This window comes from Homo sapiens, chromosome 10 (genome assembly GCF_000001405.40).
Source record: "Homo sapiens chromosome 10, GRCh38.p14 Primary Assembly".
Classification (NCBI taxonomy): domain Eukaryota; kingdom Metazoa; phylum Chordata; class Mammalia; order Primates; family Hominidae; genus Homo; species Homo sapiens.
In genome coordinates this window covers 92476035-92494801 of record NC_000010.11, presented here as the reverse complement: position 1 = coordinate 92494801, position 18767 = coordinate 92476035, and the positions used below count along the sequence as shown (strand labels likewise).

General features: G+C 41.6%; 1 protein-coding gene across 18 annotated transcripts in view; it reads left to right on the top strand.

The window, feature by feature from the left end:
• The window catches only part of IDE (insulin degrading enzyme), a 122410-nt gene that overhangs the window by 79292 nt on the left and 24351 nt on the right, over nucleotides 1–18767 (top strand). For 9 of the 18 annotated variants that reach the window (NM_001322794.2, NM_004969.4, NM_001322795.2 and 6 more), the window contains 4 exons: nucleotides 4207–4309; nucleotides 7484–7606; nucleotides 11465–11547; nucleotides 15381–15525. In NM_001322794.2, coding sequence (NP_001309723.1) covers nucleotides 4207–4309; nucleotides 7484–7606; nucleotides 11465–11547; nucleotides 15381–15525 — 454 coding nt within the window. Of the gene's footprint in view, nucleotides 1–4206; nucleotides 4310–7483; nucleotides 7607–11464; nucleotides 11548–13885; nucleotides 14010–15380; nucleotides 15526–16012; nucleotides 16158–18767 lie in introns of those variants that run through there. The other 9 variants (NM_001322793.2, NM_001410974.1, XM_017016190.2 and 6 more) reach the window with 5 other exon arrangements.

Genomic DNA, 18767 nt, shown 5'->3' with positions numbered 1-18767 from the left:
GAACCATATTGCCTTTTCATGTCTGTAGTCAGGAGACCTTTTGTTTCCAGATGAGTTCCATCCAGCTTCGACAGCTGCATTCGCTCCAAACATTTTTAAATGTACTTGAAGTCAACAGCATTCATTCTAGCCCGCTGTTTCCTTTTCTTGCTGTTGTAAGTTTTAGTATGAAAAGGTTGTGTTTTCTCATGTTTCATTTTTTAATTTCTTTCTTTTTCTTTAAATAGAGACAGGATCTCACTGTATTGCCCAGGCTTGCCTTGAACTCAAGGGCTTAAGTGACCCACTCGCCTTGGCCTCCCAAAGTGTTGGGATTACAGGCTTGAGCCACTGTGCCTGGCCTGTTCTCTCATTTCTAAGGATCACATCATTACCATATTGGCAGCCTTTTCTTCCCCCACACTCTAGCCACATTAAAAAAAAAAAAAAAACTGGGCTGGGCATGGTAGCTCATGCCTGTAATCCTAGCACTCTGGGAGGCCAAGGTGGGAGGATTGTTTGAGCTCAGGAGTTTGAGACCAGCCTGGGCAACGTGGTGAGACCTCATTTCTACCAAAAAAAAAAAAAAAAAAATTGGCTGGGTATGGTGGTATATGCCTGTAGTCCCAGCTACTTGAGAGACTGAGGCAGGAGGATCACTTGAGCTCAGGAGTTCAAGGCTGCAGTAAGGTATGATCACACCACTGTACAAGACCCTGTCTCGAAAAAAGGAAACCTTATTTTTTGGTATAATTAGATTTTCGGCAGATGGTCTAAAATGCTACAATATTTGTACTAGTTTTTCTCAACTGTCTGCGGTTGTGTATACTATAGGTGTCTGTACTTCAATTATTGTGACCTTTTCTCCTAATTCAAGTGCTCTTCCCTGTACTTTCACACTCTGGTTCATAGGTATCTATATGGGTTTGATGTGTGTATACTCTGTCTGTACCGTTACTTTCTTCCCTGTCTTTATTTATTACCTCATACATACCCTTTCATTGTATATTTCAATCTGGAATTCCTTAATGATATACTAACTCTTGGTCTGCAAAGGTATCTCTTTTTGTTAGTCTGGTATTTGATCTGTGCCTAGTCTGAGGAACTGTGCTTGTCTGTTTCCTTATAATAACATTTCAAATGTTACCCATACACCTCACTTTGGTATATAGCTATCCAAATCCCTAAGGACTGTACTTGATGAGTCTGCCTTTTTCCCCTCCTTTTTTTTTTTTAACCTGAGCATTACTGCACAGCCTGAGTGTCTGCTTTCTGTGTCAGATAGTCATCTTCCAGAGCATCTGGCTTGGCAGCTTGTTTACTTTCTCTCTCAGAACTGAGTTTAAGGTTTTCTTGTTTCAGAGGGCAAGTCCACTCCACTCCAGCTTGGGTGTCAGAGTGAGACCCTGTCTCTAAAAAAAAAAAAAAAGAAATCAAGCGTTTCATGGAAGAGTAGATGGGAAGACCATCTGCCAGATTCTTCTACTTAGTATATTTTTTAGAAGTCTCCTTGAGAATCAATCCATTCATTTTCTGAGAAATCAACAAAAGTGGAAGCCCGAGTTCCTAGGCCTGAGTCTTCATAGGCTCTATCATGTATTGAATGCCCTTAAGAGATACCATACACCCTTCATATAGCTATATGATTTCTGTGAACTCTCTACACATACACCTCAAACGGGATTCTTGAACTACCAACATGCATCACTTCCTTCTGACGCAATAATAGAACTCTTTTATCTGTCAAATCCTCTGATTCCTCTGTATCTTTCTCTGGAACGTATTTCTTATTTAGCATGTTTTCTAGAACTGGTAGTGGTTAGTGACAGATAGGCCAGATCAGGAACACCTACAGCTGGAAGATTAGTCGGTCATACTGACAGGTGAGTCATCTTGCTTTAGGATATCTACCGAAAAGCAGATGACAAGACCAAGTCCAGTCAGCCAGGTAGAGTATTTTGTCTAGAATGAATAAAAAATAGACAGTAGTTCAGACTACTAGCGTTGAAGTTGGGGAGGTTCAACAAGGGGCAGGTATTTGGAACAGAGATTGGGATTCTCAAAATGAATGAGTATCATCAGAGGGGAGTTTTGATTGCAAGTACTAGGCTTTCAGCTGTGAGGCCAACATTCAGAGGCTAGAATCAAACCTCTGGGGGTAGGTGAGAACAAGCAGGAACAGATATTATTTGAATTGGGACCTAATTATTTGAATTGGGAATTGGGACTTAAGGGAGAAGTGGAACCAATAGCAGGACTGACTTTACACCAAGTTGCCCAAGCTAATTGGCTAGAATTCCTTGACCCACAAGATTCAAAATAGGATTGGTCCCAGCCTGTGGTTGAGTCCACTGGTGAGGGTGTAGTGATTCCAACTTCAATGATTAAAAGGCAGTAGAGGCGGAGTGTCCCTGATAGTGCTACACAGGGATGGCTTAGAGTTCCACTTGTTCAGAACTTCTTTTGCTCCTCTAGTCTTGTCATTTTTTGTTCACTTATCTTTTGACATCACTTTACTTCTGCCTTCCCTCCTTGAACACTTTTTTCTTTTCTTTTTTTTTTTGAGACAGAGTCTTGCTCTGTCTCCCAGGCTGGAGTGTAGTGGTGCAGTCTCGGCTCACTGCATGCTCCGCCTTCCGGGTTCACGCCATTCTCCTGCCTCAGCCTCCCAAGTAGCTGGTACTATAGGCACCCGCCACCACACCCGGCTAATTTTTTGTATTTTTAGTAGAGACGGGATTTCACCATGTTAGCCAGGATGATCTCGATCTCTTGACCTCGTGATCTTCCCGCCTTGGCCTCCCAAAGTGCTGGGATTACAGGCATGAGTCACCATGCCCATCCTTGAACACTTTTTTCCATCTGACTTCTCTTCTGGGCTGTTTCTACTGTCGCATCAAAAAAAGCTTTTAGGCTGGGCACAGTGGCTGACACCTGTAATCCCAGCACTTTGGGAGGCTGAGGCAGGCGGATCACCTGAGGTCAGGAGTTCAAGACCAGCCTGGCCAACATGGTGAAACCCTGTCTCTACTAACAATACAAAAATTAGCTGGGCAAGGTGGTAGGCACCTGTAATCCCAGCTACTTGGGAGGCTGAGGCCGGAGAATTGCTTGAACCCAGGAGGCAGAGGTTGCAGTGAGCCAAGATCGCACCATTGCACTCCAGCCTGGGTGGCAAGAGCAAAACTCCAACTCAAAAAAAAAAAACAAAAACAAAAATTAGCCAGGCGTGGTGGCGGGTGCCTGTAATCCCAGCTACTTGGGAGGCTGAGGCAGGAGAGTTCTTGAACCCGGGAGGCAGAGGTTACAGTGGTAGACATTTTTTGGTCTTGTCCCTTTCTCCCCTAGTAGCAGGAAGGCCTGTGTATTTGTAGTAGACATATTTGATGCTAGTCTCTGGCAGGGAAAAAAACATAGAGCACAAATGTAGCAAGCAATAATAAAAGTTTCTTGGGTATGTGTGTCACGTTTTTAAAATCTCTGGATGAGCCAGCAGGTTTTATTAGTCATTCCTGTTAATTCTGCACCTGAGATACTCCTAGGAAGGAGTACTTTTTTTGCCTTTTTGGTTTTTTTTTTTTTAAAGAGACAAGGTTTTGATTTGTCACCCATGCTAGAGTGCAGTGGTGTGATTCTAGCCTACTGCAGCCTCAAACTCCTGGGCTCAAGCAATCCTCCCACCTCAGTTTTCCAAGTAGCTGGAACTATAGCTGCGTGCCACCCCACCTGGTTAATTATTACAATTTTTTGTAGAGACGGGTCCCACTATTTTGCCCAGATTGCTCTTGAACTCCTGGGCTCAAGTGAGCATCCTGCCTCAGCCTCCTAAAGTGCTGGGATTTCAGGCATAAGCCACTACATCCGCAACTTCTTTGCTTTTTTTAGGACTGTTTTTTAACTGACTGTTTTTAACTGACCTTGTTACATTTTTTTCCCCTAGCTACTCTTCTTTTTAAATTTTAGTCAGTAGCAACCTAGAGGAATCTCTCCTGCGAGCACTTTTTCATACTAAAAATAATGGACTGTAACTAAAGGATAACAGGGACTATGATCAGAAACCTCTATTCATGTATTGCTTGTTTGGACTAAGCCTTACAGGATTTGCTGGGTCTTAAGAGGCCCAGCACATTCTTGGATATTGTTTATATTGTCCTGAGTCAGGTTCTTTAAATTCATATATACAGTATGAGTTTACAGGGTTTTTTTGTTTGTTTTTTCTATCTCTAGGGTTGCCATAGTTTCTAAATCTTTTGAAGGAAAAACTGATCGCACAGAAGAGTGGTATGGAACCCAGTACAAACAAGAAGCTATACCGGATGAAGTCATCAAGGTAGGGTTAACTCATCTATGAATAAGCCTGACATGTGAGGAATCACAAGAACATTGCTCCCTAGATCCACCAACTAAGGCCCCAGAGTGTGGAAGACTGATGACCTAGTGTTATCTGTACCATCCTAAGAGAAATCAACAAGTAGATAGGGAGCTGGAGTTTAGCCTTTTCATGAAGACATGGTACTCTAGCCACCTTCTCATGTGTCTATCAAACCACCAGGGTTGTGCCTCATGCCATAAAATGTAACTAAAGTGCAGAGTACATGGGCACAGGCACCAGAAAGGCAAGAAGCGATGGAAGTAGGAAGCATGAGAAACCAATGCAAGGGCTCCAAAGAGCTCACAGTCTTGCTGTGAACACAGGCTGAGAGCAGGCTCTAGGATTCATACCATCTTCACTTCAGGAGGTGCTATGTTTTATGCCTCATGTTATAGCACCGTTCTTTTTGTCAACATAGGAGAATTATGATTTTCAGAAAAGGTATGTTAAAACAATATTTTGTCCCATTCATCAGTAGTCAGGATTTTGCTTGTGAATGTTACCTACTTATCTAGTACTTTTTCTTTCTTTCTCTTTTGGTTCTCATTGGCTATGTGCCTTTGAGACTGCGTCCCTTATTCCTGGGAAAAGACCAGAAAACTTTACTCAGGCTAGATTCTAGTTAAACTCAAGTAATGGACATTTTAAAAATGTACCTGTGTAATGACATACAAAAAAAGGAATTAGTTTAAGAAAGAAGATCATCACTGGTACTTCACAGATCTCTGACATATTCATGATACAGAAGATCATTGAAGCCCTCCAGTGTGTGAAAATGTCCATCTCTCTAAACTGAGAGGAAAGCTGATCTTCCATGAATTAGTGCTGGGTCTGAAATAGTCCTAAAAGAAGAAAGAATCCCCCTGTTCACTGGACTCTGACCATAACCAACCTGCCCTGAATGGGAATTTTATTTTTTTTTTTGAGATGGAATCTCGCTGTGTCACCATGCTGGAGTACAGTGGCATAATCTTGGCTCACTGCAACCTCCACCTAGCTCAGCCTCCCGAGTAGCTGGGACTATAGGCGCATGCCACCACGCCCAGCTAATTTTTGTATTTTTAGTAGAGACAGGGTTTCACCATGTTGGCCAGGATGGTCTTGATCTCTTGACCTTGTGATCCGCCTGCCTCAGCCTCCCAAAGTGCTGGGATTACAGCTGTGAGCCACCACACCCGGCTGGGAATTTTTTAAGAACACATCTATCTGGGAACTCAGTAGTGAAATTACTTACTAAGTGTTTCCTAGTCCCTAGTATTCAGCTGTTCTGGAAACCTAAGATACCACTTAAGAAATATGGCCAACGTCCCCAGTGCCGAAAGTCACAAATGCAGGAACTAAGAACCGTAAAATCTGCAAGGCTGTGCCACACCAGCTAGAGATCAAATTACTGAATCCAGAAATCCAGAATTATTGACAATTGGTTTTTTTTTTTAAATAGACAGGGCCTTGCTCTGTTGTCCAGGCTGGTTGCTTTTTACTCCTGGCCAGTTGCTTTTTTTTTTTTTTTTTTTTTTTAAATAATGAAAAGCCTTATAAATTAGGTTCAACAATCAGTGGCCTGTGATCTGTCCCACTTAGCTTTTGGAACTAGAACAGGAAACAGATCCAGTCTACTACAGGTTGTGTGAATCCCAACCTAAATCTCAACTTTGTTTTTTCTTTTTTTTTTTTTAGACAGAGTCTCGTACTGTTGCCTGGGCTGGAGTGCAATGGCGCCATCTTGGCTCACTGCAACCTCTGCCTTCCAGGTTCACATGATTCTCCTGCCTCAGCCTCCCAAGTAGCTGAGATTACAGGTGCACACCACCATACCCGGCTAATTTTTTGTATTTTTAATAGATATGAGGTTTCACAATGTTGGCCAGACTGGTCTCGAACTCCTGACCTCGTGATCTGCACATCTTGGCCTCCCAAAGTGCTGGGATTACAGGCGTGAGCCACCGCGCCTGGCCTCAACTTTGTTCTTAACCTTGTGCTTGAACTACTGGTTCACTTAAAAGTTCACATGATCATCTGGGAGAGGTGTGGGCCAGTTCTTAAGAAGTACTGAAAGCCGAGCGTGGTGGCTGATGTCTGTAATCCTAGCACTTTAGGAGGCTGAGGTGGGCAGATTGAGGGGAGTTTGACACCAGCGTGGGCAATACAGTGAAACCCCATCTCTAATAAAATACAGAAATTAGCTGAGTGTGGTGGTACACGCCTGTAATCCCAGCTACTCAGGAGGCTGAGGCACAAGAATCGTTTGAACCTGGGAGGTAGAGGATGCAGTGAGTGGAGATCACGCTGCTGCATTCCAGCCTGGGCAACAGAGTGAGATTCTGTCTGAAAAAGAAAAAAAGAAGTACTGAAGTGAGGCCGGGCATGGTGGCTCACACCTGTAATCCCAGCACTTTGGGAGGCTGAAGTGGGTGGATCAGTTGAGGCCAGGAGTTCAAGACCAGCCTGGGCAACAGTGAAACCCAATCTCTACTAAAAATACGAAAATTAGTCGGGTGTGGTGGCACACACCTGTAGTCCCAGCTACTTGGGAGGCTGAGGCACAAGAATCACTTGAACGCAGGAGGTGGAGGTTGCAGTGAGTTGAGATCATGCCACTGCACTCCAGCCTGGGCGGCAGAGCAAGACTGTCTCAGGAAGAAAAAAAAGAGAGAAGTACTAAAGTGAAAGACACCTCCTTTAGCCTGGCTTTCAGGCCATTCATGGATATAACTTAGTATAGCTGAAAGTATGGCTCTTATATAAATGACCTATTGTCTAGCAGTTGTGGGAATATATTCCTGAGCAGATTATTCTCCATTCTTTAAAGAGCTAGAATAAACATGATCTGCATATGGACCAGTCAGCTTTTCTGTGTTCCATAGTCTCAATTGTTCCTCAGCTGGTCATTTTGGAGATGTGGAGAGGAAGAGTAGATATATGAGTGCAAAATCTTTGCTAGTACTAGAAAGACTAACTCAGGTTTCAGGAAAACCCATCGATAGATTTGGTAGTACCTCTTTTATATATGATGGAAAACAATGCTGTGTGACATTTGTGCACTTAATATTTGCCCATATATTGAGCAGAGATACTATTTTAAACTCTTAAATCAGACTCTTACTGCATTTGTGTGTTTCATTATTCATCCAGAAATGGCAAAATGCTGACCTGAATGGGAAATTTAAACTTCCTACAAAGAATGAATTTATTCCTACGAATTTTGAGATTTTACCGTTAGAAAAAGAGGCGACACCATACCCTGCTCTTATTAAGGTAATGTGTTTGAATCAGTGATTTTAAATTTGGGGGACAGACCTAATACATGGGGGACTGGGTAAATGATTTCTTACATTTGGTACTATGTTGATTTGGGGAGGCTCACATCCTAATAGGTGACAAAAAAGCTGCAGAAAGAATAACTACAAAAAATATTAGAAGGTTAAAAATATTAAAGCAAGCAAACAAAACTAAACAGTGTAGAATCTAGGGAATCACTTTCTTTGTAGGAGAAAAAAGTAAGTCTGAGCTGTAACCACAAGTCTGTGGAAAGGTCTGTTCCTCTTTTCCATGTCTGCTGAAGACCCAATAAGGAAGTAGGTTTATGCTGCATCATGGACATTAAAGATAAGAAAGGATCTCTAAAGCCTGAAAGAGAGCAAGTCCAGGGGGAGCTGTTGGATTTCCTGCCCTTAAAAACATTCATTATGACATAGTGACTATCTCAAATTAATGGAATGATAAACTAGTGCAAAGGGCTGTTGAGAAGTAGGGTTCCCTCCCCATCTTTTTCAGAATGTCCTTTTCATGCTATTATTTCAGAACTTGAGTAAAGTATGTAAAAAATTGTATCAAATTATTACAGCACATTCTCCCTTCTAAACGTATTTCTTCTCCCTTCTAAACGTATTTCTTCTCCCTTCTAAACTGTTTCTAAACTCATGACTGTAGGCACACACACACAGATGTTTCTTTTTATCTTCTTCAGATGACCTAACATTTGGAAGAATTTAGATGAGTTCAATGAGATAACAATTAGTGTTTAGGAACACTAAAATTTGTCTTAAGCAACTAGATTATTAATGAGACAACCATTTTTCTTTATTTTCTTTTCTTTTTTTGAGACAGAGTCTTGTTCTTGTTGCCCAGGCTGGAGTATAATGGCATGATCTCGGCTCACTGTAACTTCCGCCTCCCAAGTTCAAGTGATTCTCCTGCCTTAGCCTCCCAAGTAGCTGGGATTACAGGCACCCGCCACCACATCCAGCTGATTTTTTGTATTTTTAGTAGAGACAGGGTTTCACCATGTTAGCCAGGCTGGCCTCGAACTCTTGACCTCAGGGGAGCCACCTGCCTCGGCCTCCCAAAGTGCTGGGATTAGAGGCATGAGCCACCACGCCGGACCCGTTTTTCTTTAAAAATGACATTTTAAAGAGTTTTATATTAGCTTATGCAAAGAGAAAGTTCATTTACCTCAGCTGTTTTTTATGTATTGTTTATCTTATCTTATCTTATTTATTTATTTATTTATGGAGACAGGGTCTCTCTGTTGCCCAGGCTGGAGTGCAGTGGTGGGATCATAGCTCACTGCAGCCTCAAACTCCTGGGTTCAAACCATCTTCTGGCCTCAGCCTCCTAAGTAGCTGGATTACAGACGCACACCACACCCAGCTAGTTTGTTTTTAATTTTTTGTAGAGATGGGATCTTGCTATGTTGCCTGGGCTGGTCTAGAACTCCTGGCCTCAAGTGATCCTCCCCCTTCAGCCTCTCAAGTAGCTGGAATTATAGGTGTGAGCTACCATATCCGACTTTTGCTGTTTGTTTTAAATAGGCCTTCCCAGAGCAAACTAACGAGAACATTAAACCATTTATATCTCTTCCCAGAGTTTCAAGGTAGTTTCAAGTGACTAAAGCCATTCTTAGCATAGCATGAGTGAAGTGGAGAGGCAAGATAAGTAGCTTATTTGTTCATCCTTGGCCATGTTGGTTATCCATGGTTGCATATTAAATTATTCCAAAATTTAGCAGCTTAAAACCACAACATTTAAGTTAGGCCAGATGCAGTGGCTCACGCCTGTAATCCCAGCACTTTGGGAGGCTGAGGCGAGTGGATCATGAGGTCAGGAGTTCGAGACCAGCCTGACCAAAATGGTGAAGCCCCGTCTCTACTAAAAAAAATTAGCTGGGCGTGGTGGCGCGTGCCTTATCCCAGCTACTCAGGAGGCTGAGGCAGGAGAATCGCTTGAACCCAGGAGGTGGAGATTGTGGTGAGCCGAGATCACGCCATTGCACTCCAGCCTGGGTAACAAGAGCGAAACTCTGTCACAAAAAAAAAAAAAAAAAAAGAAAGAAAGAAAGAAAGAAAAAGAAACAACCCACAACAATTATTATCTCACACAGTTTTTTTTCCTTTTTTTAAAAGACTCGCATTCCATTGCCCAGGCTGGGGTGAAGTGGTGCAGTCATGGCTCACTGTAGCCTTGGCCTCCTGGGCTAAAGTGATCCACCCACCTCAGCCTCTTGTGTACGTAGGACTACAAGCACCCACCACCACGCCCAGCTAATTGTTCAATATTTTTGTAGAGGTGGGATCTCACTATGTTGCCCAGGCCGATCTCAAACTCCTAGGCTCAAGCGATCCTGCCTCAGCCTTCCAAATTTCTGGGATTATAGGCATGAACCATCATGCCTGGTTTCTCACACACAGTTTCTTTTTTTCTTTCTTTCTTTTTTTTTTTGAGACAGAGTCTCTCTCCGTTGCCTAGGCTGGAATGCAGTGGTGCAATCTCAGCTCACTGCAACCTCTGCCTCCCAGGTTCAAGCTATTCTCATGCCTCAGCCTCCTAAGTAACTGGGATTATAGGCATGTGCCACCATGCCCAACTAATTTTTGTATTTTTAATAGAGACAGGGTTTTGCTGTTTTGGCCAGGCTGATCTCGAACTCCTGGCCTCAAGTCATCTGCCTGCCTTGGCCTCCCAAAGTGCTGGGATTACAGGTGTGAGCTGCTGCACCGTATCTCACACACAGTTTCTTTGTTTTGTTTTGTTTTTTGAGATGGAGTCTTGCTCTGTTGCCCAGGCTGGAGTGCAGTGGCATGATCTCGGCTCACTGCAACCTCTGCCTCCCGAGTCCTGGTTCAAACTATTCTCCTGCCTCAGTCTCCTGAGTAGCTGGGACTACAGGCACGAGCCACCACACCCTGCTCATTTTTGTATGATTAGTAGAGACGGGGTTTCACCATGTTGGCCAGGATGGTCTCGAACTCCCGGCCTCATGATCCACCCACCTCGGCATCCCAAAGTGCTGGGATTATAGGAGTGAAGCCACCGCGCCTGGCCCTCACACAGTTTCTGAGGAGGGTCAGGAATCCAGCAGTGACTTAGTTGGGTAGTTCTGGCTCAGGGCTTGTCGTGAGGTTATAGTCAAGCTGTTGGCCAAGGTTTCAGTCATCTGAAGGTTCAGCCAGGGCTGGAGAATTCTCTTCCAAGTTCAGTTATGTGGTTGTTGGCCAGCCTTAATTTTTCACCACATGGACCTCTCTGTAGAGTTGCTTGACATGGCAGCAGGCTTCCCCCAAAGTGAGTGATCCAGGAGGGAAAGTGAGTGATCAGGATGCAAGCCGCGGTGTCTTTTATAATGCAGTCTCAGAGGTATACCATTAATTCTGTCATATTTTGTTAGTAAGGCAGACCAACCCTGGTGTAGTGTGGGAGGGGACCACCCAAGGCTGTGAATCTCAGCAGGCAAGGATTGTTGTGGGCCACCCTGGAAGCTGGCTGCCATACGCTTGCAAGGGACTTCTGCCTCTGCCTTCCTCCTAGTGTCCAGAAAGACGAAGACAGGACAGTTGGTATTGGCTTCTCTGATCTGTCTCTTCCTTCACTGTACCCCCATCTCCCTAATACAGGGGAAATAGAAGGCAGATTTCACTCTGCTACAGGAGTCTGCAGTCTTTGTCTCCAGCTTCCTACCTGCTGACTCTTGAGTATGCTTCAAGGCCCATGGGACAGCAACTCCAGAACAAAACTCTAACTATTGCTTCTGTCCTCCTCCTCTTGAAGAGTGATTTGATTGAACATTTTTGCTGAATGCGCCTCTATTTCCCTAACCAAATTGTTTCTCCATCACAGGATACAGCTATGAGCAAACTTTGGTTCAAACAAGATGATAAGTTTTTTTTGCCGAAGGCTTGTCTCAACTTTGAATTTTTCAGGTATGTAAGATGAATCTAGCTTATAAAGCTTATAAAAATCAACAATTACGTTTCCAGGAGTTGTCTGTTCTTCTTAAACATCCATGTCTAGAAATAAAAGGAATTAGAGTTATTTCACCTAGAAAAGGAGAGGCTGAAAAAAATAAATAAATAAAAGTAAAGAAAAGGAGAGGTTGGCCGGGCACGGTGGCTCACGCCTGTAATCCCAGCACTTTGGGAGGCTGAGGCGGGCGGATCATGAGGTCAGGAGAGTGAGACCATCCTGGCTAACACGGTGAAACCCCGTCTCTACTAAAAATACAAAAAATTAGCCGGGCATGGTGGTGGGTGCCTGTAGTCCCAGCTACTCAGGAGGCTGAGGCAGGAGGATGCAGTCAGCTGAGATCGCACCGCTGCACTCCAGCCTGGGCGACAGAGCCAGACTCTGTCTCAAAAAAAAAAGAAAAGAAAAAAAAGGAGAGCTGTTGCTGTTAAGAGGTATTTTAAAAACCAGTGTTGTTAATTCTTTTTTTTTTTCTTTCCCCATTAATGAGTATGCCCTTTAGCTGAAATGATTTATGTTAGCTATTGTTAGGATGACCTTCTTAGCCTTCAGGGTTTTGGATTCTGAGGAGGCCGTAGATTTACCCAGAAGAAGACTCATTGAAGAAAGAATAAATAATTTGGGGTGTTTTTATTGCTTTGGCTTTGTATTCCTGGAACTTGTCTAGAAGAGGAGGTACTAGTTACTAAATGATCCTGAGTCTTGTTTTGTCCTTTGTCTGGAACCCTTAGATACTGCTTCCTCTATTTCTGGCTTGATTACTTAAACATTACTAATAAAAAGGGAGAAGATGTTTAGTAAAATTTATGAATAATGCTATTGCAGTAATTTCTCAGTGCACCTTCAATTCATCTTTGTCTTCCTTTACTTATTTGTGTGTTAATCACCTGTTTCAGATTTTACTTTGTGAGTTTATACTTCATAATTTTATATTTCTAAAATTCAGTGGTTTGTAAGATAAGCCTATCATGGTTTATTTGTTCAGTAATGTTCAATATGATAATCAGCTTTTTCATTAATTTTTATTCAGTTGGCTTGACATGAAATTAGAGGTAGATAAGGTTTAAATGCTTTGGAAAGAGGGAAAGGAATTTGATTTTCCATCAACAAATATGTTGAGATTATAGTGATTATAAATATTGTGGTTTTATTGCATGAGATTCACAGATTATCTAGAACTGTGCAGAGATTTTTTATTGTTTACACCAAAGATGGGCTGTCAGGTTGTGGCTTATTATTGGTAAAGGGCATTACAAAGCTGCTTTTTATTTTTTGATATTTGAGAGTGATATTTTTAACACTCTAAGCAGCTTGTCACCACTTTTCCATTTGGCCTCTATGATGATGAATTTCTTTAGACTACCCTTTGAGAGACCATTTTACATTTTTGTGTTCTCTAAACTGCCTAGCGCATTTCCTAGAACTGAAAATGTCTGCCTCCCACACAAATCCCTCCCTCTGGTCTGTCTTCCTAGAGGTAACCACTGTTCTGTTTCTTGTACATTTTAATTGAAATTTTCATGTGTGTGTCTATATCCTTTCCATCTTTTCAGAAATAAGATTATATTATGTGTAGTTAGCTATGGTTTTTAAAACCCTGTGATCCATATTTAAGCATATAGTATCTGGTTACAAAATAACGTATTTTTAAAATTAACACATGAACCAGAATTTAGGTATCCCAGTTGAATCCTATTCTCTTTTAAAAGTTAGTTTAGGGTCTTCTCCACTTCACCAGCACAGCTGCTGTGGATACAGCTGTTTTTGTTGTTCTCTTTTTTTAGGAGACAGAGTCTTCCTCTGTCACCCAAGGCTGGAGTGCAGTTACTGCAGCCTCAAATTCTTGGGCTCAAGTGATCCTCCCACCTCAGCCTCCTGAGTAGCTGGGACTACAGGCGTATGCCACCTTGCCAGGCTGGATGTAGCATTTTAGGACACTCCTTGGAATTATTTTCTGAGCCTGAGCCATAGTGCTTTGAGACCCAAAACTTGGATTTTCTGGCTTTTCACTTCCACCTGAGAAAGGTGCATAGTTGCCTGTGGGGCCGACCTCTGTGATATCCTCTCTTTTGTTTTGATGATTTTGTTTTTGTGAATTGTGCCTTAAGTTTTTGAGCTGCTATTTGCCAAAAGAAGGAAATCTGTCATCATGTATCATACCTTAAAAAATTTAATGGCAGAACATTTATTCAGATTTTCCAGTTGGAGAATATTTGGATAGCTGTAGAACTTTGTCTTTGATTTTAATTCTCTAAGTGACTACACATTTTATCCCTATTTTTGCTTTTTTATCAGCTTTGATAAAATTGTTGGCTTTTGGCTGGGTGCGATAGCTCACACCTGTAATCCTAACATTTTGGGAAGCCGAGGCAGGAAGATCGCTTGAGCCTAGGAGTTCGAGACCAGCCTGGACAACACAGTGAGACCTTGACTCAACTTTAAAAAACAAAATGTTGACTTTGTTATCAGTACATTAGTTATATTTACTGTGCTACAAGTAGAGTGAAACTTTTAATTTGCTGCCAAACAAGCCAAGCAGGCACCTGCCTCAGGCCTTTAGCAGTAGCTATTTCTTCAGCCTGGGAAGTTCTCCACTCCACCCCTTAGATATCCCCAGGGCTCACTCCCTTGCCTCCTTCAGGTCTGAGTCCAGATGTCACATTGTAAGAGTGGCCTTGACTGGCCATCTTATGTAAAGCAGCAGTCTTTCTTCCCTGCTGCCATCACCCCATCATTCCCTATTCCCCTTACCCTGCTTAATTTTACCCCATAGCACTGTCACCAACTAATATGTCAAATTTAAATTTATTATTATGTGTCCCCTCTAGCTAGATTATCAACTCTGAGGTCAGGGAATTTGCCTGATTTGTTCACTCTTTATTTCCAGTGCCTAGAGAAGAGCCTGGCACTGTAGTAAGCATATAATACATATTTGTTGAATGAGTGAGACCTTTACTTTCTTCTGATAAAAGGTAAGCAAGGTTGTATAGTCAAAGGAGCAGGTCATTTAACTTGCATTTGAATCCCAGCTCTGCTGCCACGAACTCAGGGGACCTGAAGAAAATTATGTTTCTTATCTGGGAAATGAAGTTTAGTTGATCACTGTGGTGGTTTAGTTCTTGTACTCTATAATTCTTTCTTCTTTGTTCTTTCTCATTAAAATATTTTTCTATTTTATTTTTCCCTAGTTTTGGCTGCTGTTATATGATAGAAATTATCAATTATTTTACTGACAGTTCTCTAGCTTTACTGTTTTGGGGAAAACTCAGGGATAAGCTAACATTTTCACAGGTCTCAATTTTTCTAAGTTCATGTAATTACCACAGACACATTTCCCAGTCCTTTATTCCTGTCCACCAAGGATGTGACTTTATTGGAGAGAGAGGGAAGACATGCAAATGCTGTATCTGTTCTGTCGGCCGTGCTCCTCCCATTAGCCTAAGCACAGCCATGCATTTTGGCCCGTTCCCACTGCTCACATACCCTGCATTTCTAACTTGTCAGTTCTGCCACACCATCTGGGGTAGGCAGTTCCTTCTCCTTCTTCACTACTACCAGTGCGCACGCACACACGCACGCATGCACACACACACACACACACTCACACACACTTCAGGCTTCTTTTTCAGACATCTTCTTTTTTTTCCTCATAAGAAATAGCCTCAAGAATTCAACCATATCCTCAGGAAATCATATTAACCGGTGTTCAATATCTTGATCCATCTCAAAAGGCCATATCACATTGAGAAGTAATAAAATCAGCTATTTTACTGTCAACATTTTCTTCCAGCCCATTTGCTTATGTGGACCCCTTGCACTGTAACATGGCCTATTTGTACCTTGAGCTCCTCAAAGACTCACTCAACGAGTATGCATATGCAGCAGAGCTAGCAGGCTTGAGCTATGATCTCCAAAATACCATCTATGGGATGTATGTAAGTACCCACGCCTTAGAGCCTTCCACTCATCAACATTTTTTATATTGATTTGATGGAAGCATTTTTTGATTGAGGGTGTGAGTTTAATTTCTTTTTTTTTTAATCTTTATGGCTAATCATATTTTCTCATTTAATTTTTAAGTTAGCTTTTATTCTAAGTGTTCAACTACATACCATTCATATTATGCAAATTTTCCTTGATTTCTTTTTTTTTAAACGTCTTTCATCAGAATGTCATATTTTTCTACTCAAACAAAATTGGACCCTGATTTAGGTTTAGCTCTTACCCATTCTGTATTTGAAATCTTGGTCTTTGGCAAAGGAAAATGAAGTCTTCCTTTTGTAAAACCTAAGGTTGGCATATACTATTTCCCTAGAAATCCAGATCATGAGGCTGCATATCCATACTCTTCGGTCATGTTTCTTCATTACCATGCCACTGCTTGAGGTATCAAAGCATTTCTTTTGTTTTTCTTTTTGTTAGTCGCTACATTTATGCTGATCCTCTCCATTGCAACATGACATACCTGTTTATCAGGTTATTGAAGGATGATTTAAAAGAGTATACATATGCAGCACGCCTCTCAGGTTTGAGCTATGGCATTGCATCAGGAATGAATGCAATACTTGTAAGTAAAATGAAAACCAAAGAAAAGGCACCACCCCGTTTAAGCATTATGTTGAGCTTGGGAAAACTATTAACTTCGCATTTTTAAACAAGAAAGTTAATGGTTTTTTTCCTTGCATCTTTTTGATGATCAAAGAACTCAAATTAGTGTTAGTTCCACTAATGAATGATTTAATAAAGTTTAGTGCATCTTGTGAACATGTATGTGTGCTACGTTTATTTGCATGCTCTTCTGCCTGAGATGTTTAACATATTAATCCTGAAAGCATATTGTTCTTTCTATATAATTGAGTATATTAACATCCGTAAGTAGAAGATATCCATAGTTGTTGTGGTGATTGAATTTTACTTATAAATAGGCACCCTTTATTTCTGCAGACAGTAGTATAAAGTTTCTATGTTCAGATACATCTGACATTTTAATTTAAAACTTATTTTGTAGCATGCACCATTACCTACTTTATGTGTGTTTTAAAATAAGCATTTATTAAATCCATCTAAGAAATAACTAGATCCTTTCTTTGGAATGTGTTTCCAAGCTTGCTTATATCTCAATTCCGAGTTAACATCCCTTTTATGGCACACATTCATCTTCACTTTTCTTGAAAATATATTGCATATTTTAGTAAAAATGAAAACAAGAGCATTTTGGGGTACTCGTTGTTTAAATTCTTACACAAAAGATTGTAGGAATTTTAAATTTTATTTATTTTCCAGTGACTTTTTTTTCTTCACATAAATAAATTCTCTGGTAGCTTTTGTTTAATGTATAAGAATGTTTATTAATCTAACCATTCCCAGAGTCCACAGAAGTTTGAAGCTCAGAGATCAAAATTAGCTCCAAATAGAAAAGTAATCATCTGTTTTCTCTTTTTTCTGTTGATTTTTAGTAGCATATTACCATCAAAACACATAATTTTTATTTATGACAAAATGGGTTTTCTGCTAATTGTCAGTCTAGTTCCTACAGTAGGAAAAATGATGTGCTTGCCGTGGCCAGTGGCCTTCCCTCCTGCTGAGGTTCTTGCCTATCATCCTGTACAGCGTAGAGACTTTCATGATATTCTAGCTGCAGTGATATCCCCTACTGCTTTGCGTGCCACCATGTGGAAATATCATGATAGAAATTCTCCATTCCCCACTTTTCAAAATGTTAGGCATTTAGAGACAAAGTAAATTTTGCTAAGTTGGCTGGGCACGGTGGCTCACGCCTGTAATCCCAGCACTTTGGGAGGCCAAGGCAGGCAGATTGCTTTGAGCTCAGGAGTTCGAGACCAGCCTCCTGGGCAACATGGCAAGACCCTGTCTCTACAAAAAATACAAAAAATTAGCCAGACATGGTGGTGTGTACCTGTAGTCCAGCTACTCCAGAGGCTGAGGTGGGAGGATCGCTTGAGCCTGCGGAGCAGAAGTTGCAGTCAGCCGAGATTGTACCACTGCACTCCAGCCTGGGTGGCAGAGCCAGACCCTGTCTCAGAAAAAAAAAAATGTGCTAAGCCAAGGTCCTGATGATACATACAGTGTATCCTTTTTACACATTTGTTTTGCCATTAGCTTTTGGAACACCAACAGAACTTACCAAATAAGCAAGTGGTTAGAATTGTGGATCCTGCCTGGCACGGTGGCTCATGCCTGTAATCCCAGCACTTTGGGAGGCCGAGGCAGGTGGATCACCTGAGGTCAGGAGTCTAACTATGTTGCCCAGGTTGGTCTTAAACTCTTGGGCTAAAGCAAGCCTTCCATCTCAGCTTTCCAAGTAGCTGGGACGACTTGTACGTGCCACTATGCCCTGTGATTTTTATCTTCTTACCTCACCTGTAGAAACCTTAAGTCTGCCTTTCATTAGATATTCTTTTTGAAGAAAAAACTTAGCCACATTCTACAATTAATTTTATAAAAAGAATTTGAGTTTTGATGATATAGTATATGCCACCATAGTTCGGTGTCAGGTGAGTTTACTTACTGTTGGTTTTGTTTCAGAAAAGTAAAATTATGCTTTTGGGTATAGAGATTGTTAATGGCCAGGCACTGTGGCTCACACATATAGTTCCAGCTACTTGGGAGACTGAGGCAGGAGGTTCACTTGAGCTCAGGAGTTTGAGTCTAGCCTGGGTACCCTAGCAAGACCCTGTCTCGAATAAATAAATATATTTTTTAAAAAAGATGGTTAAGGCTGGGCATGGTGGCTCACACCTGTAATCCCAGCATTTTGGAAGGCCGAGGCGGATGGATCACCTGAGGTCAGGAGTTCAAGACCAGCCTGACTAACATGGTGAAACGCCATCTCTACTAAAAATACAAAATATTAACCAGGCGTAGTGGGGCACGTCTGTAATCCCAGCTACTCTGGAGGCTGAGACAGGAGAATTGCCTGAACCTGGGAGGCTGAGGTTGCAGTGAACTGAAATCGTGCCGTTGCACTCCAGCCTGGGCAACAAGAGCGAAACTCTGTCTCAAAAAAAAAAAAAAAGATGGTTAATGTTATCTTCCTAAGTGTTACACTATATATATTTATGACACATTAAATTGAATTTGTTTCATTTTTTACATGTCTGTTTTGGGATTTTCTACATGTTTAAAAATCAAGTCGTTTATTTGGAAGTTGTTTTGT